The 25,809-nt window shown below is 41.7% G+C and overlaps 1 protein-coding gene across 32 annotated transcripts in view; it reads right to left on the minus strand.

The window, feature by feature from the left end:
- Window positions 1-9,087: 9,087 nt before the first annotated feature.
- The window catches only part of DPP8 (dipeptidyl peptidase 8), a 75,223-nt gene continuing 58,501 nt past the window's right edge, over window positions 9,088-25,809 (minus strand). For 15 of the 32 annotated variants that reach the window (NM_001438669.1, NM_130434.5, NM_001438668.1 and 12 more), the window contains 5 exons: window positions 22,846-22,992; window positions 20,884-21,036; window positions 18,581-18,723; window positions 17,620-17,731; window positions 9,088-13,627 (listed from right to left, as the gene is read on the minus strand). In NM_001438669.1, the coding sequence (NP_001425598.1) occupies window positions 13,505-13,627; window positions 17,620-17,731; window positions 18,581-18,723; window positions 20,884-21,036; window positions 22,846-22,992 (678 nt within the window). In that variant the 3' untranslated portion in view covers window positions 9,088-13,504. Of the gene's footprint in view, window positions 13,628-17,619; window positions 17,732-18,580; window positions 18,724-20,883; window positions 21,037-22,274; window positions 22,463-22,845; window positions 22,993-25,809 lie in introns of those variants that run through there. The other 17 variants (NM_017743.6, NM_001438671.1, XM_011521734.3 and 14 more) reach the window with 8 other exon arrangements.

Genomic DNA, 25,809 nt, shown 5'->3' on the forward strand with positions numbered 1-25,809 from the left:
AATAAATATATAAGCTAAAAAATAATTATTAACTAGGTAAAACAAAAAGCTGTTCATGACTGAAAACAAATTCAAAGTTTAGCAGTGGCTCATGCCTGTAATCCCAGCACTTTGGGAGGCCGAGGCAGGTGGATCACTTGAGGTCAGGAGTTCAAGACCAGCCTGGGCAACATGGTGAAAACTCATCTCTACTAAAAATACAAAAAAGTAGCCTAGCATGTTGGCGTGCACCTGTGGTCCCAGCTACTCTGGAGGTAGAGGTGAGAGGATTGTTTGAGCCCCAGAGGTGGAGGTTGCAGTGAGCCAAGATCGTGCCAGTGCACTCCAGCCTGGGTGACAGAGTGAGACCCTGTCTCAAAAAAAGAAAATATTTGAAGTTTATTGTGTGGATTCATCTTTGAATACATTTACATAGTCTTAACGATGTAAAAACTGAATATAATCTAGTAAAATTACAATAAAACTATATTGAAGGGATGAGGGAGATAGGAACTGTGGGTATTTGGTGGAAATGGAAGGGAAAACAGCTAAATTCTAATCATTCACAATGGGACGCCACTAGATAGTACATAAAAATTGAAAAAAAATAATAATAATACAAACATATTACTTGAGACTTATTATAGAACTTGACTCCAAGCTATGTGCCTGTGTAACCCTGATACACTTAAAACTTTTAAAAATTTGTTAAAAGGTGGTGCAGGTAGACACCCTCCTGCCCTCCTGCTCTCCCTCCTCAGCTCTCTAGGCAGACACTTTTCCACCTGTCCATCCCATCAACGGCTACTTCCCACTTGGAACCACTGCTCCCAGATGCTCACCTCTGCAAGGCCACCTGCCCCAGCAAGACTGGGGTTCAGATTCAGTCTCTCGGTCCCCTTTTATAAGGCCCCTGCACATCTGGCACAATGGGCTGAGACCTGCTCTCTCCTGGGGTCTCTCTGGACGCTCTGCCTGCAGCTGGACACACTGATCGTGGCAGGATGGGAGCACTGTCTTCCGCAGAACGGAAAGGCCTGCGACACTGTCATATTGTCCATCCCTCTTTGGAAGCTCACCACCTCGGGCTGGAGACTGTGTCTTCCCACAGCTTCTAGGGGCTGGAATCCTCACCCTGAGCCTGTTCTACCCAACAGTCCTTTGCTCCGACACTTTCCCCATCAAAGCACGACTATCCCATGACCTGTCCCGTCATTTGTCTCCAGATAAGCTAGGCCGGCTGAGGTGAAGCGAGCAGCAGAGCTGGGGGCAGATGCACAATCTCCTTAGCTTCCGTCATGCATGGCCCTTCGCACTTCTTCCCTGGCACCCCCAGCTTTTTCTACCATTCTCCCCACAATCAGCGCTCCCAGTATGCCAGCCCCCACACCCCTTATCCCTTCATCCCTATTCTCCCTGCCTGGAATGACTTCCTCCCACCTGGGGAAGCTTGTTCTTTAGTGCCCAATCCAAATGCCACCTCCTTTGTGCAGCCTTCCCTGACCACCCTCTTTTCCACTGCCCAGAGAACTAATAGCTCGTGTCTGAGTGCTACATGCCAGGCACTAGGAGCTTTGCATGTGTTTTCTCATATCAAAGCCCACAGCAACTCCGTGAAGTAGAATAATCATTAGCTCCATGTAGCTGCTCAATTCATGTTGCTCGCCGATTAGCTGGTGAAACCAGGATCAGCATTCCACTTCTGCACTGTGACCTTGGGCAAGGCATATACCTCTCTGAGTTTTCATTTCTTTCTCTGACCAAAAAAAAAAAAAAAAAAGTAGGGGAATAATAATATGCCTGACATCCCAGTTTTATTGTGAGGATCAAATTGAATATAATGATGTCATAAGGAAGTACTCTAAGTGGTGGGACACTAACCATACAAACGTTAGCAGTTGGTATTCAGAGGAAAATGTGTCACCTGGCTCACAGGTAAAACATTTTATCCCTAACAAGGGCCTTACAGTTAATGATGCCTTCATTTAAAGCAATATGCAGGTCGGGCACAGTGGCTCACGTCTGTAATTCCAGTGCTTTGGGAGGCTGAGGTGGGCAGATCACTTGAGGTCAGGAGTTCAAGACTAGCATGGCCAACATGGTGAAACCCTGTCTCTACTAAAAATAAAAAAATTAGCTGGGTGTGGTGGTGCACACCTGTAATCCCAGCTACTCAAGAGGTTGAGGCAGGAGAATCGCTTGAACCCGGGAGGCAGAGGTTGCAGTGAGCCAAGATCACGCCACTGCACTCCAGGCTGGGCGACAGAGTGAGTGAGGCTCCGTCTCAAAAGAAAGAAATAAAGGAATGTGCAATACCAGAAGATCATCAGCCTTTGGGTCAGGTAAGTGGGAAGTATCTGAGGCCAGGGCAGAGTTCAGTCACCCCCACAGGAGGCTTTTGTACCCACCCTTGTTCATGGCCCAGAAGCTGCTGTCCTCCCAAGATCCCTGGGGCTGAGTCATATTCCTTTCCCCTTCCAGCATCTATCTTCTCCCCAGGGTTTGGGCCTCACAGCTCATGTCCTGGAGAGCACAGTGCGCCCTCTGGCAGGCTTGGATGGGTGGGGTTGGATCAACAGCAGGAGGGCCAACTTCACTGTCATGAATCACTTCCAAACCCCCATCCCATGCTAGTCTGTACTTGACAATTTGGCCTCACAGCAACTCTGTGATGTATTAAAACTCCACTTTAGGGTCCAGGAAACCAAGGGTAGAGAAGCAGAGGTGTTGCTCAAAATCACAACTGCTGGGTCTGAACCCAACTCTATCAGATCCCAAATTCCCTTCTCTTTTTCATGCTCTCTCTCCTTTCTCTGGGCAAGTTCAGGGAGATTCACATCCAAGATCCACCCAGCACACACTTCTTGAGCTCAGCATCAGCTCAGTCCCTGAAGGATCTCAGACTTCAGGCAAGTATCATATTTCCTTGATTCTAGGATCATTCTTCTGTGTGTGTGTGTGTGTGTGTGTGTGTGTGTGTGTGTGTGTGTGTGTGTGGGTGGGTATTTGGTTTGGTTTTTTGTTTTTTGAGACAGGGCCTGGCTCTGTCACTTAGGCTGGAGTGCAGTGGTGCAATCACAGCTCACTGCAGCCTCAACCTCCTGGGCTCAAGTGATCCTCCTGCCTCAGCCTCCCAAGAAGCTAGGACAATAGGCATGTACCACCATCCCTGGCTTTCATTTTTTTTTGAGACAGAGTCTTGCTTAGTCGCCCAGGCTGGAGTGCAGTGGCGCCATCTCAGCTCACTGCAAGCTCCGCCTCCCGGGTTCACGCCATTCTCCTGCCTCAGCCTCCTTAGTAGCTGGGACTACAGGCACCTGCCACCACGCCCGGCTAATTTTTTGTATTTTTAGTAGAGATGGGGTTTCACCATGTTAGCCAGGATGGTCTCCATCTCCTGACCTCATGATCCACCCGCCTTGGCCTCCCAAAGTGCTAGGATTACAGGCGTGAGCCATTGCGCCCGGTCCTGGCTTTCATATTTTTTGTAGAGATGGGGTCTTGCTATGCTGCCCAGGCTGGTCTTGAACTCCTGGGCTCAAGCAATCCTCCCACCTCAGCCTCCTAAATTGCTGGCATTACAGGCGTGAGCCACTGCACCTGACTCTCAGGATACAGTCTTAATTCACGTTTTGATGTTTCTAATATTAGGGTCTTACAAATGGTGACATCTTAGATTTTAGGAAATTTAGTAGGAGTTCTAGATTGAGAGCCTTAGATACTGTATTCAGGTGTCCACGTTCAGCTACCGACTAGTTTGTGCCTTTGGGGAAGTCGCTTTACCTCCTTGTACCTCAGGGAGTTAGTTGGTCTGAGTTTTGGTTCCGATTCTGCCACTGAACAGCTGTATGGCTTTGTAGTCCTCTGGGCCTCAGTTTCCTCATCTGAAAGTGAGGGGAGGGGTCACTGGTTTTCTAACTGTTCTTTTAAGCTGCGGAACGTGTTTTCCCTGATTATACATGAGTAAACAGCTAAGTTGCTGTGGGTGAAACAAGGGGTGGGGACCTCCTCTACTCCCTGTGCCTCTGCTGAGACTACCCTGGCAACAGCCTTGGCACCCTCATTTTGGCGAATTTCTCTGCTTGGGTCTGGCTTGGGAGAACATTGTTCTGGGAGGTGGAGACACAGCTAGAAGCCTTGAGCTTCAGTATGGACTCTAGGCAGCTGGTTTGGCTGCGGAGTAATCACTTCCTGGCTTCACATCAGCTTCTCGTCTGTTAAGTAAAGTGGTAAATTAGATGATTTCTAAAAATACGTTCGGCTCTAACGTTCTGTGAGTAAAATCTTCCATTGCTCTACCTCAGGGACTCTGTCACCCAGGCTGGAGTGCATTGGCACGATCTCGGCTCACTGCAACCTCCGCCTCCCAGGTTCAAGCGATTCTCCTGTCTCAGTCCCCCAAGTAGCTGGGATTACAGGTGTGTGCCATCACAGCTGGCTACTTTTTGTATTTTTAGTAGAGGTGGGGTTTAACCATGTTGACCATGCTGGTCTCGAACTCCTGACCTCAGGTGATCTGCCGTCCTCAGCCTCCCAAAGTGCTGGGAATACAGGCGTGAGTCACCAAGCCTGGCCAGAGACTCTACTCTGGTTAAACATTAGGATCACCTAGAGAACTTATTTTTAACAAATTAAAAGATGGCAGGACCTCCCCTCCCCATTTTGATGTAATGGATCCTGGGAGGGACTTATATATGAATGTTTTTAAAAGCTGCCCAGACAACTATAATAGCAACTAGGGTTGAGAAGGACAATATCTCCTGACCTGAAGCCTCAGTGGGGGATAAAGAATACAAACTACAAGGACATTTTGAAAAAGGAGTTCTAAAAGCTTAAATTTGGGAATGATTTGGTTTCTTTTGCACTTACAAACAAATTGGTAGATGGGTACTTAGGAACCTATAAGCTATCAATCAGACAACCCTAAATGGGGGACGTCAGATATTTTTATTTGAAAATTGTTTTGGTATTCAAGTATCTCATATATCTGACCCTGCAGTAGGTATTATGGGTGAGAATTAAGCAAGTGTAAAGGTACCACTTTGAGAGTCTGTGATCCAACTGGAGAAACAAAACCGGTAGCAAACAGTATGGTATGAAATTAAATGCTAGGCCGGGTGAGGTGGCTCATGCCTGTAATCCCACCACTTTGGGGGACCGAGGTGGGCGGATCACTTGAGGTCAGGTGTCGAGACCAGCCTGGCCAACATGGTAAAACACCATCTCTACTAAAAATACAAAAATTAGCCAGGCACGGTGGCGCGTGCCTGTAATCCCAGCACTTGGGGACGCTGACGCAGGAGGACTGCTTGAGCCCAGGAGTTCAAGACCAGCCTGTTTGAACAAAGTGCGACCACATCTGTACAAAAAATGAAAAAATTAGCTGGGAGTGGTGGTGCGTGCCTGAAGTCCCAGCTATTTGGGAAGGTGAGGTGGGAGGATCACCTGAGCCTGGGAGGTTGGGGCTGCAGTGGGTGTGTTCATGCCACTGCATTCCCACCTGGGCAGCAGAGGGAGACCCTGTCTCAAAGAAAAAAAAAAAAAAAAAGCTTCCTTTAAAGGAAGTGGCTTCTGGGTGGAAAGTGAAGTGGGTCCCGAGAGCCTACTGAGGGCAAGGACTGTATCCTCTTCAGTTCTGTTTTCTGATGGCCTAGTACAGACCTGGCACATGATTGTTCCTAAATATTTGCTAAATGAAAGTTGAGAAATGCTTATTTGAAGTCACTTGGAATTCTATTCTTCACCCCGAACTCAGGGTGGATAGAGAGCTGCTGTATTTACCCGGCATTGAGATCGTGAGACCTAGACTGGGGAAGGAGCAACAATGGGAAAGAGGAATGGACGGTTGAGACAGCTTAAAGCAATTAACTGGCAGGGCAACACAACAAGTACCCAACTGAACTGCAGACAGTGGTATACACATGCATGCTTAGGGATGCAACTATGACCAGGTATGCGCTCAGTAATTAAGCCAGCACAGAGAGTTCATTTTACAGAGGAGCTGTGTGGTTTCCAGAACCATCCTGGCCAGAAGACTGACCTTTCTGCAAGTAACTGTCACCTGTGAGTAGAATGTTAAGCTATGCCACATCTACAGGGTGTTTTTCCAATAAAGATGGGGGAATCCTGGAGCCGGCTAAGGACAACTATCCTGGCTAATTGCTTCCGCAAACTTCTATTTTAAGAACACAGGTTTGGAGGCCAATTTACAGAGAGCATCTTTTAGTAAGGAGTAAGGAACAAACAGCAAACTGAACAATCTGTGTCTCAGAGCTGAAATTACAATGGGAGCTCAACCTCTTCCAGGGTGATAGAGCCAGCAGATGAATCCTTAAATCCTGGTAAATCCCCAAACTACACCGAACCCCAAATAAAATTATACTCTGGTTATGAGATTCTCATACTGTGACTGTTTCACTCTGCTCCCCACAAAAGCACCAAGGGATCAATATCTGCCTCTTCATATACACTGGGTGGGGTGGGTGAGGTTAAAAGGGCCAAAGGGAAGTCAAAAGGCTTCAAGGCTGCTCCGACTCTGGGGCACTGGAGTTCTACAGCTGGAAGTCTACACCTCCATCACAGTATGCAGACAGGGTCTTGTTGCCCAGGCTGGACTGCAGTAGTATAATCATAGCACACTGCAGTGTGCTCAAGTAATCCTTTGCCTCAGTCTCCTGAGTAGCTGGGACTACAGGCGTGCACTACCATGCTCAGTTAATTTTAAAATTTTTAGTAGAGACAAGATCTTGCTATGTTGCCCAGGCTGGTCTCAAACTCCTGAGCTCATGCAGTCCTCCCGCCTTGGCCTCTCAAAGTGCTGGGATTACAGGTGTGATTCACCTCGTCTGGCCTGAGAGCTAATTAAAAAAAAAAAATTTATTTTGAGACAAGGTCTGGTTCTGTCGCCCAGGCTGGAGTGTAGTGGTGTGATCTCAGCTGACTGCAGCCCCTGCCTCCAAGCTTCAAGCGATCCTCTCACCTCAGCCTCCCGAGTAGCTGGAACTACAGGCATGCATCACCACACCCAGGCAGTTTTTGTATTTTTGTAGAGATGGGGTTTCACCATGTTGCCCAGGCTGGCCTTGAACTTGTGAGCTCAAGCAATCTGCCCACCTCAGCCTCCCAAAGTGCTAGGACTGCAGGCATGAGCCACTGTGTCAGGTGAAAGCTGGTTTTTGATTTTTGATAGGCCAAGGTAATCTATAAAATTTCCCAACCATAGTGCCATAAGTAGATCATATGTATAATGAGATACTGATTTCTTTAGAGCTGAGGTGGGCCTGGACAGTCACTTCTGGCTACAAGCAGCCTTAACAGCTTACCCCAGTGTGCCTGTTTATCCCTGTGTCATACAAGTGTCTCTTTTTGTTACAAGATGAAAAGGTTAGGAAGCACTCATCTACAGCAGTCCATTACTTTTTATTTTTTTGAGATGGAGTCTCACACTGTTGCCCAGGCTAGAGAGCAGTGGCGTGATCTTGGCTCACTGCAACCTCTGCCTCCCAAGCTCAACCGATTCTCCTGCCTCAGCCTCCCGAGTAGCTGGGATTACAGCCATGTGCCACCATGCCCTGCTAATTTTTGTATTTTTAGTATGCAAAAATTCATTCACCATGTTGGCTAGCTGGTCTTAAACTCCTGACTTCAAGTGATCTACCCGTCTCAGCCTCCCAAAGTGCCAGGATTACAGGCGTGAGCCACTGCACCCGGCCTAGCAGTCCCTTATTTTAAAATCATCTTTATTCCTAATAATTTTTGTATACAAAATAAAAGTTTAAGACCCTAATACAGCTGTGGTTCTTAACTTTTTTGGGGTCATTATCCCTTTGAGTATTTGATAAAGCCAAAGAGCCTGTCTCCAGAATAATACACTACTACTTTTCATGCAATACTTCACATACAACTTGAGGGTTACAGAATCCAGATTAAGCCTCTGTTCTGGAAGGATTATCACAGAAACCCACATTTACTTATTTCAGAGGGGTTCATCTGCTTCCCCTCTGCCCTTTCTCTAATAAAACTTCAAAAAAACAGAATATTGTCAGGCCGGACGCGGTGGCTCATGCCTGTAATCCCAGCACTTTGGGAGGCCGAGGCAGGCACATCACCTGAGGTCATTACGGACTTCGAGACCAGCCTGGCCAACATGGTGAAACCCCATCTCTACATTAGCCGGGTGTGGTGGCAGGCGCCTGTAATCCCAGCTACTTGGGAGGCTGGGGCAGGAGAATCACTTGAACCTGGGCAGGGGAGGTTGCAGTATGCCAAGATTGCACTACTACACTCCAGCCTGGGTGACAGAACAAGACTCCACCTAAAAAACAAACAAAACAACAACAACAAAAAAAAAACAACAGAAACCTCTGAAAAACATAGTACATTAAACTCCCTCAAAGTTTCCTGGGCAGTAGGGGCCGGGCGTGGTGGCTCGCGCCTGTAATCCCAGCACTTTGGGAGGCCAAGGCGGGTGGATCACGAGGTCAGAGGTCAGGAGATCGAGACCATCCTGGCTAACACGGTGCAATCCCATCTCTACTAAAACTACAAAAAATTAGCCAGGCGTTGTGGCGGGTGCCTATAGTCCCAGCTACTTGGAAGGCTGACGCAGGAGAATGGCGTGAACCCAGGAGGCGGAGCTTGCAGTGAGCCAAGATTGCGCCACTGCACTCCAGCCTGGGCGACAGTGTGAGACTGTCTCAAAAAAATTAAAAAAAAAAAAAAAATTTCCTGGGCAGCATGCAGAAGCCACTATCAACCCTAGGTGGTATTCCCACAAACCCCCAGCTGCTCGGGGGTGGAGCTTGGGGCAGGGGGATATGCTCCTCACTGGCTCTAACACCATTTACCCTTGTAGTATCAACCACTGGATGTTGGTAACCACTTGCAGATAGAAAGCAGTTCTCTGCACACCTCCCATTGGGCTTGGATGCATTTTGGTTAGTGTTTATACTAAAACACCCATGTAATCCTTCATACTACAGTTTCTCTTCTCCACTGCAAGCACATGACCTTGTTCATGTGTATTAGTCCCTCCACAGTTGTCACTAATCAAGGCAAGGTTGTACATTTCCCATGGGGAAATGGAAGAAAAAGGAACACTTAAATCAATTAATTTCAGCAGCATCTTTATTGCAACAAAGAACCTGTAATAAAATGCAAGAAAACTAATGTTTCACTTTACATGATTAAAAGCCATATACCTAAAAATGAGAAAACCCATAAGCTTACTGGAGACATGCAATTCTTTTTATACAAGTCAATGCTTAAAACAGCAGGCACTTCATGTTCTAAAATTAAACACCTGAATTCCAATTTTGCTGAATACAATATAAATTTGTTTTGGGGTTACTTAAAAACAAACATACAAACACTACTTTTTCTTTATCTGTAAAGGACTTATGAAATGATCACCTAGAGCCCAGGACCTTGCACTAACATCTCTATATTTGAGGCTGGAAGATGGCTAGGTGAGGCTGGGAAGGTGGGAATCAAAAAAGTTTCCTTTTTCCTTTATATCTGCTGGGAATAGACACACTCACCTTATATAGTTTAGAAATGGCCATGTCTCTTTTCTTACATCAAATAGCTATAAAGATGGGCTCCCAGGCTTAAGCAAGCACTCTACTCTATATTCCAATCCTCAAATCCTCCACTATACCAAGGAAGACACATTTAGTGCAATGAGTTTAATTAACTTCAGAATGTCATATACTAATCAGAAGTACTGCTTCATTAATAAACATGCTTAGCATTTACTTTGGAATGGAAAAATTAACCATTTTTATGTGGTTACCTTTAAAATGTTTTATAGGAATATATTAATAAATATTTCTTTAAAAATTTACCTTTTCTATATATCATTTAACTACCATGAGGCAGGACACCTGGCTGGAGTCCAGCACCAACTGGATACTAACTGGCTGTGTGGTCGTGGGTATATTTCCTCCTCTCTCTCTAGCATGTAGGTTGTTCTTCTAACAAATGAGAATATCAGCTTAGATTAAATCAAATATTGATTCCATCTTGAAAAATGCATGATTTAATAATGAGAAATCTTATAGGAATCATTCCACCTAAAGAGAACTATGCTATAGAAAGGCGGGCTATACTTTCTGGAAGGAATAAAACAAGTAGTAAAAAAAAAAAAGTAAGCATCGGTATCAATATCGCATTCTTTTAAAAGGTAATGCATGCATTGTGACCTAATCCTCTTGTATGAGGCTTTGGAAAAGAACCAGGAATGGCATAGAGAGAAAAACTTTCATTCCAAAATTAATCTCCAGACAAAGGGGATAGAAACAAAGTAAACAACATCTCCTGCTGCTTTCAGAGTGAGACGGGGCCAAATAGTTACCACAGATGAGCAGCTTCATGGACTACTGTTTAGGTTCTTGTGAATCAGTCCAGTGTAAAAAATCACCTATTATTAATCCAACTCCATTCTCTATAGAAGAGTTTCTTAAAGTAGTCCACAGATGACTTACTATAGGATCGCCTGGAAAGCTTGTTAGAAATGCACATTCCTGGTGTCTACCCAAATCAATGGAATACAAATTTTTATTTATTTATTTATTTTGAGGCAGAATCTCACTCTGTCGCCCAGACTGGACTACAGTGGCGCCATCTCGGCTCACTGCAACTTCCGCCTCCCAGGTTCAAGCGATTCTCCTGCCTCAGCCTCCCGAGTAGGTGGGATTATAGGCACACGCCATCATGCCCAGCTAATTTTTTTGTACTTTTAGTAGAGACGGGGTTTCACCATGTCGACCAAGCTGGTCTTGATCTCCTGACTTCAAGTGATTCACCCGCCTTGGCCTCCCAAAGTGCTAGGATTACAGGCGTGAGCCACCATGCCTAGCCTGGGAATACACATTTTTAAGAGTGAGATTCAAAACTCTACATTTCTTTTAGAAGTATCCCAGATGAATCTTAGATTTTGAGTTCCACTACTCTGTAATGCTCAAGTAACTATCCCTCTGGATGGTTGTTCAAGTGTACACATTTATCAAGTCTTTAAAAACGTAGTATGATATTTAACCTAGTGCTTTTTGGCTCCCACTAAACTGTTGCTACTTTTATATATTCTTGCCGTTTAAGCTGTTACCCATACTCAGGGGGTACAAACTTTTAGTGAGATTTCTACTGATTGCCTCAATTGACTATGATATTTTCCACACTGATTGTAAAAAGCAAATTCAGTCAAACTGTCTTTCTGTAAGAGAATTCATTCAGGTATTTTTTCCTGCTAAAGAAGCAGAATGGCATTTAAGTGACTGGGAGTGATAATAGAAGCATTCTTTGTGATAGGAGGAAAGGAGAAGGCAACATGCAAAAGGAAAACACCTGTGAACTCCAGAGTACATGAAGTTTTCTAAGTTTGTTTCGGTAAAATAAGAGATGCCACTTTGAAGAAACAGCCTTAATGGGTGAGAGGTTTCAATGGAGTAGCTGCTTAAAAGCTACTGTATACCATTTCTACTTTGCATATATTATAAGGATAGATCCTTCGAGGCCAGTTAGTCCAAACAAAACAAAACAAAACAAAACAAAACACCCTCCACAGTCAGATATATACTTAAGGGGGAAAATACTTTCTTGGGGAAGAAAGTTACCCAAATCAATTTAATTTAACATTGAAAATATATATAAACAAATCTTGGCATGGGAAAATATCAAACATGAAAAGCAATACATATACAGATAATAAGAAAAAGCGTGGTATCTATTATACAGTATAAATACAAACAGCAAAACCCAATACCTTTCCCAACGACAGAACCACCATATCATCCTGCCATTTCTGGGCTTTCCCTACCTCCCACTTGGTGTCAATGAAGTCCACCTCTTACCAATAGTCACCAACCTTACTAATGGAGGCTGTGCTCTCTATGGGGAAATCTACTCTCTCTGTAGTGATGAGAAAGAAATATAGCAAATTTTCTTGGAGTGTTGTTTAAAAGTATTGGTAATAACTTTCTAAACACTGAAGTGTGTGATAAAAAGCATCAAACTCATAGATGCCTTCCCTGCCACTGGTGTCAATGTGACCAATCTAGCACCCCAAGACTCTAACAGGGCAGATCTCAATTAGCACCTGAAAGCCTATGAGCTCTCTTCATAGCTAAATCCTAGTGCTAAACCAAGAAAAGTTCATGATCATTCAGAAAAACTGTTTACAGGCTTTAAACACCAAAAAAAAAAAGAGAGCCATGGCTTGCCAGGGATTAGTTTATGGTAAAGAGGTTATCTATAAACATTTGTATTTTAAGCTTACAATATCTAAATTATGTTCAAATAATTTTAAAAGGATAAAGTTTAAATTTGTAAGATTTCTAAACCTAAGAGGAAAAAAAAAAAGAATTATAAAAGTAACTCTAAGGAACTTTTCCTCCCCTGAATCATGTTACTCTGTAGCTGTGCTGGCAAGACAGTGATTTATTGATTCTGGTTTCCTTAATATTACAGTTGTTTAAATTTCAGTTTCCAAACATTTTCATGAGTATTTTTGTTAAAACTACTTCTGCTTAGTTTTTAATCAGGCCCTCACCACCTCTTCTCTCTGTCATTCCCCAAACCCAGGTCTCCCCACCCCACTGTGATTCCCTTCAATCTCCTTAAAATTCTAGAATATTTTAATAAGGAAATACCAAATGGAAACTGGCACCACTAAATTTTCTGAAGAATTCTAGTGAATGTGTACTTTTTCCTTTTCTTAAAGGAAAAAAAAAAACTTGCCTGCAAATATTTAAGCTCTAATCATTTGATTAAAAATTTTCTGCCTGTAATTATCAATATCATGACTAATTAAATCCATGCTACATATACAGTTACTAGCCTTTATGCAAAAGGAAAAGCCCACTCTGTTAATATCATCAAAGAAAAATGAGAATTATTTATACTAGATACAGATTAAATTGGCTAAAAACTGGTCAGTGCCAAAACAAGTGTCTTTAGGAGGCCACTAAGTTATCCTTGAAAAATTATTAATGAATGACTGGTTAAGTCAAGTTTAATAGTTATTAGTTCATAACATGCTGGATATGCCCAAGCAATGAAGCATAAGCTATTCAATTACATTTAAGTGCTATCAAATCTGTAACTAGTCAAAGATTCTGGAACTGAACCAAACCAATCACTAATATCATCATATTTTAACAAACTCAAAAGTATACTGTAAAAATACACTAATTAAGTTCATGAAGTTTATAATACTATTAAAAGTGAAAATAGGGTAGTATGAATACATGGTGCTAATGTCTTTTTTTTTTTTTTTTTTTTAGTAATTCTTATGGTATTGCTGGGTCTCTCAGGAATATGTATCATTTGATTTTGAGCATGTGGGGTTAAGGTATTAGATTACTACCACAAACCGTAGACCCCTGCATGGCACCACATTTATTTTCAGGAGTAGATGTTACATGGCAGGTATCAAAATGTGATGATCAATTCTGTGTTTTCTGTTGATTAAACCTCCTCATTTGGTTAAATAGCCAGTGTATACCAGAGAGTTCTACACAGGTCAAAATTATATCACTTTTAGAGCAGCAATACGTGATCCAAGGTTTTCTTGAAGGTAGTGCAAAAGATGCAGTTCATAATGTTCTCCCGATTCAGGAACTCTTATGCTGTGTCTCTCCTGAGGATAGATCTTACCAACAACAAAAAATAAAGATACAAAAAAAAAAAAGAATTTAGTAATACATCTTCTTCCAAAGCTTTCCAGAGATTTTTAACAGGATTAATAATACGAAGCACAGCCTCTATGCAATATTGTAGAATAAATCCTATCTAAACGCTCCTCTCTTCATCTTATGATTTCCTTATTTAACATTAGGCTTAATGATGGATTTATCTGTAGACCAATGGTTTGTTCTCTAAGTGTGGTCTGCAGACTTTCAGAGGTCTCTGAAACCTTTTCAAGGGATAGACACGGTCAAAACTACTTTTAGAACAACACAAAGACATTATTTGCCTTTACTTGTTGTGCCAGCATTTACAGTGATGATACAAAAGCAAAGGTCAGTAAAACTGCTGGTTAGCATGAATCAAGGCACTATCATTAAACTGCACTAGAAGTCACAGTATTCCTCACCACCACACACTTCCAATAAAAAAGAAAAATGGCAGTTTCAATTAAGTAGCAGTAAAAATTAGAATTTATTAAGTTACAACCTTTGAGTAGAAGTCTTTTTAATATTCTGTGTTTATGAAATGGGAATGCATAAAGCACCAGTGCTATAGGATGTCTCAAAGAAAAGTACTAGTGTGAATGAGTCACAAGCTGAACTGCTGCTTTTTAAATGGAACTCCATTTTTAACTTCAAAGAATGACTGACAACTATGGTTATTTAGGGTATCCAGTAAATATTTTCTCAAAAGTGAATGAAGTGAGCTGGTCACTTCAAGGACAACACTGACAGTATTTGTTGCCAATGATAAAATCTGGGCTTTTGAGTTAGAATTTTGGAAAACTTGCATCTACTACTATTAACTAATGAGCTTCCCAATACTTAGACACTTTTCCGATGAGCTCAGTAGTAATATTATTATATGTGATTTTAAAAATATTGTACAATAAAAGGAGTCAATATTTGAAAGACTGGCATAACACAGTGAGCCAGTATTTTCCAGAAGGCCAATGCATGGTAAAAGATCCATCTGAAGTATAAGATCCACACTTTACTGTGACAGAGTATGAAGTTTATATATATCACTTCAGATTCCACACTAAAACCTAGCTTTAAGCCAGATGCAGTAGCCCATTCCCTGTAGTCTCAGCTACTTGGGAGGCTGAGGTGGGAGGATTACTTGACCCCAGGAGTTTGAAACGAGCCCAGGAATCATAGTAAGACTCTATTTAAAAAAAATAAATAAAAAACAACAAAAAATTCCTTGGCTGAGCATGGTAGCTCACCCTGCAATCTTAGCACTTTGGGAGGCTCAGGTGGGAGGATCGCTTGAGTTCAGGAGTTTGAGATCAGCCTGGGCAACTTAGTGACACCCATCTCTATTTATTTTTAAAAATATATTTAGGCTGGGCACGGTGGCTCATGCCTGTAACCCCAGCACTTTGGGAGGCTGACACGTACAGATAACGAGGTCAGAAGATCGAGACCATCCTGGCTAACACAGTGAAACCCCGTCTGTACTAAAAATACAAAAAATTAGCCAGGCGTGGTGGCGGGCACCGGTAGTCCCAGCTACTCGGGAGGCTGGGGCAGTAGAATGGCGTGAACCCGGGAGGCGGAGCTTGCAGTAAGCCAAGATCGTGCCACCGCACTCCAGCCTGGGTGACAGAGCGAAACTCCATCTCAAAAAAAAAAAAAAAAAAAATATATATATATATAAAATGTACATATATATATAAAATATACATATATATCTAAAATATACATATATATCTGAAATATACATATATATCTAAAATATACATATATAATATATAAAATATACATATATATCTAAAGTATACATATATAATATATAAAATATACATATATATCTAAAATATATATATATATATATATATATATATATATATATATATATATATATATATATATATTTAGCCTGGGTGTAGTGGCTCACGCCTGTAATCCCAACACTTTTGGAGGCCAAGGCCTCAAATCACCTGAGGTCAGCAGTTGGAGACCAGCCTAGCCAACATGGTGAAACCCTGTCTCTACTAAAAGTACAAAAAAATTAGCTGGGCATAGTGGTATGAGCCTGTAGTCCCAGCTACTCGGGAGGCTGAGGCATGAGAACTGCTTGAACCCGGGAGGCAGAGGTTGCAGTTAGCCAAGATCACACCACTGTGCTCCAGCCTGGGTGACAGAGCAAGTCTCCATCTCAAAAAGAAAAAAAATAAAAATAAATATATATATATATATAATTTAAAAATATATATATAATAAAAAGTATATATAATATATATATTTAAAACAACAAAAACAAACAAAATCCCACAACCTTTAAGAAACTACCACTTGTCCAGTTTTGGTACAGTATCAAAGAATAGTATTTACAATTATCTGAAAAAGCTAAAATACTCCTCCCATTTCCTTTTTTTTAAGACAGAGTCCACTCTGTCACCCAGGCTGGAGTTCAGTGGCACGATCTCGGCTCACTGCAACCTCTGCCTCCCGGGTTCAAGCAATTCTCATGCCTCAGCTTCCTGAGTAGTTGGGATTACAGGCATGCACCACCACACCTAGCTAATTTTTGTATTTTTCGTAGAGATGGGGTTTTACCATGTTTGCCAGGCTGGTTGTGAACTCTTGACCTCAGGTAATCCGCCTGCCTCGGCCTCCCAAAGTGTTGGGATTACAGGCGTGAGCCACTGCGACCGGCCCCATTTCATAACTACATACTCTGTGAGGCCAAACTTTTCTTCACATACTTTAGTCGAAACAACATATCACAACAGACTGAGTACAGAAAGAGACATAAGAATGCAAGTGTCTTCTTTACTACTATGTCAGACATTAAAGGAATTTAGAAAAATGTAAAATATTGCTGTTTTTCTCAGTAAATTATTTTTTGTTTTGGAATATAGTTTCTCTCTATGAAAAACGTGATTTGTGTTAACATGTAATAGTTTATTATTATTATTATTATTTTTTTTTTGAGACGGAGTTTCACTCTTGTTGCCCAGGCTGGAGTGCAATAGCGCGATCTCAGCTGATCGCAACCTCTGCCTCCCCAGTTCAAGCAGTTCTCCTGCCTCAGCCTCCCAAGTAGCTGGGATTACAGGCATGAGCCACCATGCCTGACTAATTTTTGTATTTTTAGTAGAGACAGGGTTTCTCCATGTTGGTCAGGCTGGTCTCGAACTCCTGACCTCAAGTGATCCACCTGCCTTGGCCTCCTAAAGTGCTGGGATTACAGGTATGAGCCACTGTGCCGGGCTGATAGTTTATTATTTTAAAATATTTAAAAATTTTCTCAGTTTTCATATCTTACATGAGAAATATTGATTGATATAATTGACATAAACAAAGTTCTTTGGTAGGTAAAGGTGTCCTGAAACCAAAAAGCTTAAAAACTACTGCTATAAATATCTCATAGTTTAAACATAAATATCAACTGAAATGTTAAAAAGGAAAAAGTAATTTTTTCATTTTTTGTGTGCACATAATCTGTTTAAGGAGTAAAACACAGTTTTAAGAAAAACTGGAATAAGGAGCAATGAATAATGGAGCAATGGAGGAGAGTAACTTGCTGGTTTTTCCTCCAATGTCAATGTAAAATAAAAGAAAATCAAAAGACCATATAATCAGGCCCTAAAAATCCTTTTACAACCATGAAATCAAAATAGCACATCCTCACCCTTCAAAGTGGAAAAAGAAAAGCAAAGGATAACAGTGAATGGACTTCCTGTCATCTTTTCCATGCTTCCAAACTGAAAGCAGATACAGACACACAGTCATGTAATCTGATAGGCAGGTATGTCAGCCTGACTGCAACAGAATCTTAATTTTTATCCAACTACAGGCACTACTAAATATGCCTCTTACTTTAGTTCTCTTAAGCAGAGGGTGGACACTCTAAAAATCTGGACTTACCCCACAGCTAATAGATTTCAAAGTAATCAATCACTAATCATGACTGCATTTAACTAGAAAATGTAGAGTAACTCACCTGTAAATCATATGGCTTTCCAGCCCTCACTAAAAAACTCAGTAATATACTGGTATGTGCAAAATGGACATTCTCATCCAGGAAACCATGTAAGAGCAGTAAACGATTTGGTCTGGAGAAATGGAAATATTAGAGGATTAGGCAAAATAGTAGAGTATTTGGGAAAACCATTTCACTTATTTAATCATACTTAACCATATTAACTTCCTTATACTGTAATGTTAGAATAAGAATTCAGTATTTTCAATATTAAATTTGTAACATATTAACCAGATGCCACATGCAATGAAGGATTAAAAAAAGATCTTGTGTTCAATTTTTTATAATTAAAATATTAGAACACATCTATAATTATAGCATGTCCCTAGAAGAACTATTTGTAAAATATATTCAGGCAGACATAAAATTTTTTCCACCTTGAAAGTCGTGTACTTAACTTTTTTCAGCAAAAACAACTGCTTCAAATATAACTTGTAAAGAAACATTATATGAATTGGCCTGTAATTCAGTTTTAAGAAACAGCCATGCTATTCTAGTATAACATTTGTCTTGGTTTTTCAGTATTTGAATTTTTCATTAGGATTAAAGACAATTTTTTAAAATACAATTGAAAATTTATAATCTTCATTTTAAAGCTTGAATTAGGCTGTGCCCGGTGGCTCATGCCTGTAATCCCAGCACTTTGGGAGTCTGAGGTGGGCAGATAACTTGAGTTCAGGAGTTTGAGACCACCCTAGGCAACATGATAAAACCCTGACTCTACTAAAAATACAAAAAATTAGGCGGGCATGGTGGCACGTGCCTGTAAACCCAGCTACTCGGGGGCTGAGGTGGGAGGATCCTCTGAGCCCAGGAGTTTGACGCTGCAGGGAGCCCTGATCATGCCACTACACTCCAGCCTAAGTGACAGAGTGAGACCCTGTCTCAATTTAAAAAAAAAAAAAAAAAAGCTTGCACTTACTCAGAGGGGAACTTTTCTGCTTGCATGGCCACAGATCCTAAGTAATAGCCCTGTTCATTCTGGTCAGGGTGACCCATATAACGTTCCGTGTATCCTGTATCATAGAAGATCCACAGAGTGACTGGGGCCCCAGCAATAGCAACCTGCATAAGATGACATTGACAGTCAAGTGTGGTCTGGAAAAAGAGAGTGGCTAGCAGTGAGATCTTACAACTGCAAATTTACAGTCTAAAATTATCCTTAAGCTTTAGCCTTACTACTGGCGCATACATGTCTTAGGCAACTCAGAATACGAAGTGAAGCGCTAAGGTCAAGAATTTGATACTCTGTGAGTCAGTTTCATGTTCCATGGGCATTCTACATACCAAACCTTTAACCTGGGCTAGCTGAAATATGAAAGCCAGGCCCGTTATTAAAAGACAACTGAACTATATCCTGCTACTGAGGAAAAAACGTGTGAGAACTGTCAGTTTTATGTAAAAAAGGAGCCACCTTTTTTTTTTAAGCCTCTGTTGGCAGTATAGAATTTAAAACAATAAATGAAATATACTAAAAATTTGCCTGTCCTATACGTAGTTTTATATTTAAATACTCTATTTTCTTGACAGCTACAAACCTGGGAAAATTATGGAAGTGGTCAGAATTTATTTATGGTTATTATAAAGATTATCTAGATATATGTGCAAGAATAAAAACCTTATTGTTTTTGTTCTTAAAAATAAAAATTAATGGTCAGGTGCAATGGCTCACACCTGTAATCCCAGCACTTTGGGAGGCTGAGGCGGGCGGATCACCCAAGGTCAGGAGTCTGAGACCAGCCTGGCAAACATGGTGAAATCTCGTCTCTACTAAAAATACAAAAATTAGCTGGGAATAGTGGTGGGCGCCTTTAATCCCAGTTACTTGGGAGGCTGAAGCACGAGAATCGCTTGAACCTGAGAGGCGGAGGTTGCAGTGAGCCGAGATCGCACACTGCATTCCAGCCTGGGTGACAGCAAGACTCTGTCTCAAAAAAATAAAATAAAATAAAATTTTAAAAAATTACTTTTCACTGTAAAGTAACATCATGTTATTGAAATATTAAAAAAGAAACACTACTCATAATTCCTATTCTCAACAATTGTTATCATCCTTATGTAATTTCTTCTAGTATATTTTTCCAAGAGTTTGTTTACAGAATTGTAAGCATTTATACATTTAATAATTAATTCATTCAACACATTTATTGAGGGCCTACTATATGCCCAGCATTGTGCTTGACTGCTGAAGATACAATGGTGTACAGGGCAAACAGGTCCCTGCCCTCATAGCTTGCAGTCCAACAATTAAGTAATTACGATCCATCAGGTATGTTGTATGTGTTTTACTAATCATAACCATCTCCTACACTCTTTGGCATGTATCTATAAACAGCCAGTAACTGGTTATCCAGTTGACAGATTTAAACATTATACATGTTTAAAAGAAAAATATACACACACACACACACACATACATATATATATATCTACACACATAAAACTTGAAGGCTGGGCGCAGTGGTTCATGCCTGTAATCCCAGCACTTTGGGAGGCCAAGGCAGAGGGATCACTTCAGGTCAGGAGTTCAAGACCAGCCTAGCCAACATGGTGAAACTCCATCTCTACTAAAAGTACAAAAATTAGCTGGAAATCACTTGAACCCAGGAGGTGGAGGCTGCAGTGAGCCAAGATTGCGTCACTGCACTCCAGCCTGGGTGAAGAGCGAGACTCCGTCTCAAAACAAAACAAAACAGAACAACAACAAAAAACAAACTTGAGATATATATACATTTCACATGGCTTTTAAACATACAAACCCTAACATTCTACAATATTGCCAACTCTGGGCCAGGCGCAGTGGCTCATGCCTGTAATCCTAGCACTTTGGGAGGCCAACGCAGGTGGATCTCTTGAGGTCAGGAGTTTGAGACCAGCCTAGCCAATATGGTGAAATCCCATCTCTACTTTAAAAAAAATAAAAATAAAAATTAGCCAGGTGTGGTGGTGGGCACTTGTAATCCCAGCTACTCAGGAGGCTGAGATATGAGAACAGGAGGCTGAGACATGAGAATCACTTGAACCCAGGGGCAGAGATTGCAGTGAGCTGAGATTGCGCCACTGCACTCCAGCCCGGGTTACAGAGCAAGACTTCGTCTCAAAAAAAAAAAAAAAAAAAAATTGCCAACTCTGTAAACCTTCAGAAAATAGACATTTTCATATATCCTCCATTTACAGAAAAATCTACCCTTATTGCAAAAATGAGTATAATAGGAAGTCACATACCCTGAAGATATCTGACCTCTGCATTAATGCCATCAGGGAGAGGTATCCTCCATAGGACCAGCCGTGGATGCCCACACGATCTAAGTCAATGAAATCATATCGAGAAGCTAGATATTGGAGTCCTTCCACCTGATCGTCAATTTCTATTTGACCCTGTCAAAAAAGGGAGAACATTTCACTGATTCTGATGAATAAAAGTCTCGTAAGAGTGCTTTCAAAGATGATAAATGTTTTTACTAAAAATACCTGTAGGTGTTTTAATTTTTATTTTATTTATTTTTTGAGATGGAGTCTCACTCTGTCACCCAGGCTGGAGTGCAATGACGCAGTCTCGGCTCACTGCAACCTCCGCCTGGTGGATTCAAGTGATTCTCCTGCCTCAGCCTCCCAAGTAGCTGGGATCACAGGCATGCGCCACCATGCCCAGCTAATTTTTGTATTTTTTAGTAGAGACGGAGTTTCACTATGGCCAGGCTAGTCTCGAACTCCTGACCTCAAGTGATTCACCCGCCTCGGCCTCCCAAATTGCTGGGATTACAGGCGTGAGCCACCACACCCGGCCCCGTAGGTTTTTTTAGATTAGAGTTTATTACCAACTGAGATTCTGTTGCCCCCTCTCCCTCAAATTTTTTAAAAATCTATTTGGAGATAGGGGCCTATATCTTCTGTTGCTAGCCTGTCCTAGAGTTTAGTTACCACTTAGTCATAAAGCTCCCTCCTACTGCTACTCAAACTGTCCCTTGCTATTTGGGTATTTCCCATTTCCATTTGTTCTGTTGTCTGCTAAGAGGTCAGCATCTTCCTTGTAACAAGCCTTCCTATACCCAAAGACAAAAAATTAGCCCCTTAAGTAATTAATTTTACTTTTCCTTTTTATCTATTTTTTTGGAGACATGGTCTCACTCTGCTGTCCAGGTTGGAGTGCAGTAGTGTGACCAGGGATCACTGTAGCTCAACCTCCCGGGCTCAAGTTATCCTCCCACCTCAAGCCTCCCAAGTAGCTGGGACCACAGGCATGCGCCACCATGCCCAGCTAATTTTTTAACTCATTTGTAGAGGTGGGGTCTCATTATGTTGCCCAGGTTGGTCTTGAACTCCTGGGCTCAAGTGATCCTCCTGCCTTGGCCTCCCAAAGTGCTGGGATTACACGCGTGAGCCACTGCACCTGGCCTACTTCTCCTTTTTAATTTTTAGTGCAGTAAAGCAGAAGGAATTGCTCTTGAGGCCCTGTCTTCTTATTTCCCTATTATACTACCTCTAGGAACTGAACATACTACTTCTTTAAAGTCCTAATTCCTACCACCACCACCTTGTCTATATTACTAGGCCTGCCAGTGCACGCAATCTCACTTCACTGAGCCAAAAACAAAAATAAAAACAAAAAAACTTACATGAGAATACAACATAAGGTCAAAGAACTGGCTGTGGGAGAAAATCCCCATGTCTTACTCAGCATGTCCAATAACACTGGCAAACACAGTAACTGCCTTACTGTGCAAAAGGAACATCGGATTCTCATCATTTCCCAAAGCAGCAGAAAGGACATGGGGCATCTCTAAAAGGTAGCATTTAAAGCTTCCTGTAGAGAGAAAGAGGCTTGTCACAAGGAAGGCACTAACCAGTTGGATTCCCTCTTCACAGAGGACAGAACAAATCTCAATTATTCCTCAACTGTGTACAGGATGCTGAAAGCTAAATGGTGCTAAATTCTACCCAAGTGGACATACAAAACAGAGAGGATATTTCTATGTACAAGTGGCTCTATCTCAGTTCCCCAAAGTTACGTATAAGTAGGGTGTACATCAAGTTGCATCTTCTCTCCCACCCCCAAACTCTAACACATACACTCTCACTCACTCATTCATAGCCCCTTCCCCCAACTCTCTTTCAAGGGTTTCACACCAAACAATGGACCAGAAAATGTAAATGTCTGTAAAAGAAAAGTGTTTTATGCTCACACACCATTTTATATTTAAAGGCGCCTTCAAATTTAAGCCCTCGGTGACAGGATCCCCTGTTGTCTATCACTACAACCACATAACCTAGAGAGGCTAGGGTATTCAAGCGGAAATACTTGACTCCTTTAAACCGATTATTCACCAACTGCACCTGAGGAAGAAACACAACTTCAGTTTATCATATGGAAGCATATAAAAACCCAAGAGCGGCTGGGCATTGCAAGAAATAGAAAGCTTAATTTCACTATTATTTTACCTTTAAAATGTAATTTTTTAAGTCATTTCTTTTTAAATTAACAAGTCTGTTTATTTGCTTCTTGCTTAACTTCACACTCAAGTTCAGGGCAATTACTGAACAACCATAGGCTTTAAAATTCTAACTTAAATATTAATTACATATAAGTGAATCAACCCACCCCATATAAAAAGTTACTAAATTGATTACTTCTACCCTGAAGAACTGTGCTATTCGAATGACAGTTACAAGGACAAATAAGAAAAACTTTCCTCCCCATCAGACATCAGATATGACTGCTGCTTGGCTTCCTCCACTGCCTACCATTACCCTTCAGAATAAGTCTACATGGCCCTTGAGATCTTTGGCTACCTCTGACCTCATCTCATACCATTTCCCTCCAAGTGCACTGTACTCTAACCTTATTGTCAACACTATCAAGTTGGTTCTAGCCCCAGGAACTTGACATTTACCGTTTTCTGTGTCTGGAATGCTTTTCTCTCACATCTTTTGCATGGCTCATTCCTTCTCAATGTTTGTAACCTCAGGAGAGGTCTTGCCATCCCCTTTCCCAGCAAATCTTCATAGAACTTCCATTATAAAAAGTCATACTTTTGGGCTGAGCGTGGTGGTTCACACCTGTAATCCCAGCACTTTGGGAGGCTGAAGCGGGTGGATCACCTGAGGTCAGGAGTTCGAGACCAGCCTGGCCAACATGGCGAAACCCCGTCTCTACCAAAAACAAAAAATTAGCTGGGCATGGTGGGGAGTGCCTGTGATCCCAGTCACTCGGGAGGCAGAGGCATGAGAATTGCTTGAACCCAGAAGGCAGAGAGGTTGCAGTGAGCAAAGATCACACCACTGCACTGCAGCCTGGGCAACACAGTGAGACTCTGTCTCAAAAAACAAACAAAAAAAGTCATACTTTTTTTTTTTAAGAGATGGGGTCTCCAGGCTGGAGTGCAGTGGTACAATCATAGCTCAGTGCTGCCTCAAATTCCTGGGCTCAAGTGATCCTCCTGCCTCAGCCTTCAAGTAGCTGGGACTACAGGTGTGCACCACCATGCCTGGCTAATTTTTAAATTTTTTTGTAGAGATGGGGTCTCACCATCATATCTTTTTATGTTTGCTTATTATTTTCCCTTTATGGTCCATGAAGTGGAATATTAGTCTGACATGTTCACTGGGTATCCTCACTGCCTAGAACAGTACCTAGCACATCACAGGAACTTAATACCTGTTTGCTAAATGAATGAATGAAAAAGAGAAACAGGAGAATAATGTTTTTTTCCCATTTCTACCTTGGGAAGAGGGCGTTTGGTGAGTAAAGGCACTTGTATTTATTTATTTACTTAAGAGATGGTGTCTCACTCTGTACCCCAGGCTGGAGTGTGGTGGTACAATCATAGTTCACTACAGCCTCGAACTCCTGGGCTCAAGTAATCCTCCCACCTCAGCCTCTGAATAGCTGGGATTACATGTGTGTGCCACAGCACCTGGCTAAAGATATTTGTCTTTAAAGGGAGAGTGCTGAAAGAAGAAATACTAGGCAGAGAAGTACACGAATATGAACATTTAAAGAAAATCACCTCACTTCTTTGTCTGCTACCATGTATAGAAGATGGTCTCAATTGCTTGATATGAACACTTAAATATAATGCCTTTTGGCACTGGGAATCCAAAAGTCTCCTTCAGTATCAATTCTTCAAAACCTGTGTCCTGTTATCATCTAGCCTGATCTCTTTGGATTTTTATTTGCAGAACAGTGTCTGGCACATTCTAGGAAACATAAGTATTTGTTACACAAACTTTTTTTGTTTTTTGAAATGTAGTCTTGCTCTGTCACCCAGGCAGGAGTGCAATGGCGTGATCTCGGCCCACTGCAACTTCCGCCTCCCAGGTTCAAGCAATTCTCGTGCCTCAGCCTCCCGAGTAGCTGGGATTATAGGTGTGCACCACAATGCCTGGCTAATTTTTGTAATTTTAATAAGGTCGGGGTTTCACCATGTTAGCCAGGCTGGTCTCAAACTCCTGACCTCAAGTCATCCGCCCACCTCAGCCTCCCAAAGTGCTGGGGTTACAGACATGAGCCACCTTACCCAGCCTTGTTAAATAAATGTTTAGAAACACAGCTGTTAATAATGGAAAGTTTAAGGAACTGATCCTTGATAACTTTAGTGGGAAATATCTGCTGCTTTTCTTGTATTTCACTCTTTCCTGACCTACAGAAATTGCTGCCTTTAGTGACAAAGTAATTCGCTTCATGTTATGAATTGTGACACTGTTGCTGTTTCAACATATTTCCACTTAGACGTGAATACACACCAAGAAAGAACAGTTTTGACCACATGAACATCATACTCTTAAAAGATTTAAACAAATTTTACAATGTTATTATGTGCTATTAAAAGACCTAGTCCTACATTAGAGAGTCACTTCATAATTAACCCAAATGAAGTCATCAAGCAAGAAGATGAATGATCTTCCAAGAGGCTGAAGGGACAGGGGCACTATATCATGTGAAATCTCATGGGAAAATCTCCCTGCAAACTGAACACCAGATTCTTTATTTTTTTTTTAACCTTAAAAAAAAAAAAGGCGGGGGGGGTCTTGCTGTGTTGCCCAGGCTGGTCTCAAACTCCTGGGCTCAACTAATCCTCCCACCTCGGCCTCCCAAAGCGCTGAGATTACAAGCGTGAGCCACCACACCTGGCCAGATTCTTCTGTTTCTTC

The sequence above is a fragment of the Homo sapiens genome, chromosome 15, assembly GCF_000001405.40.
Source record: "Homo sapiens chromosome 15, GRCh38.p14 Primary Assembly".
Classification (NCBI taxonomy): Eukaryota; Metazoa; Chordata; class Mammalia; order Primates; family Hominidae; genus Homo; species Homo sapiens.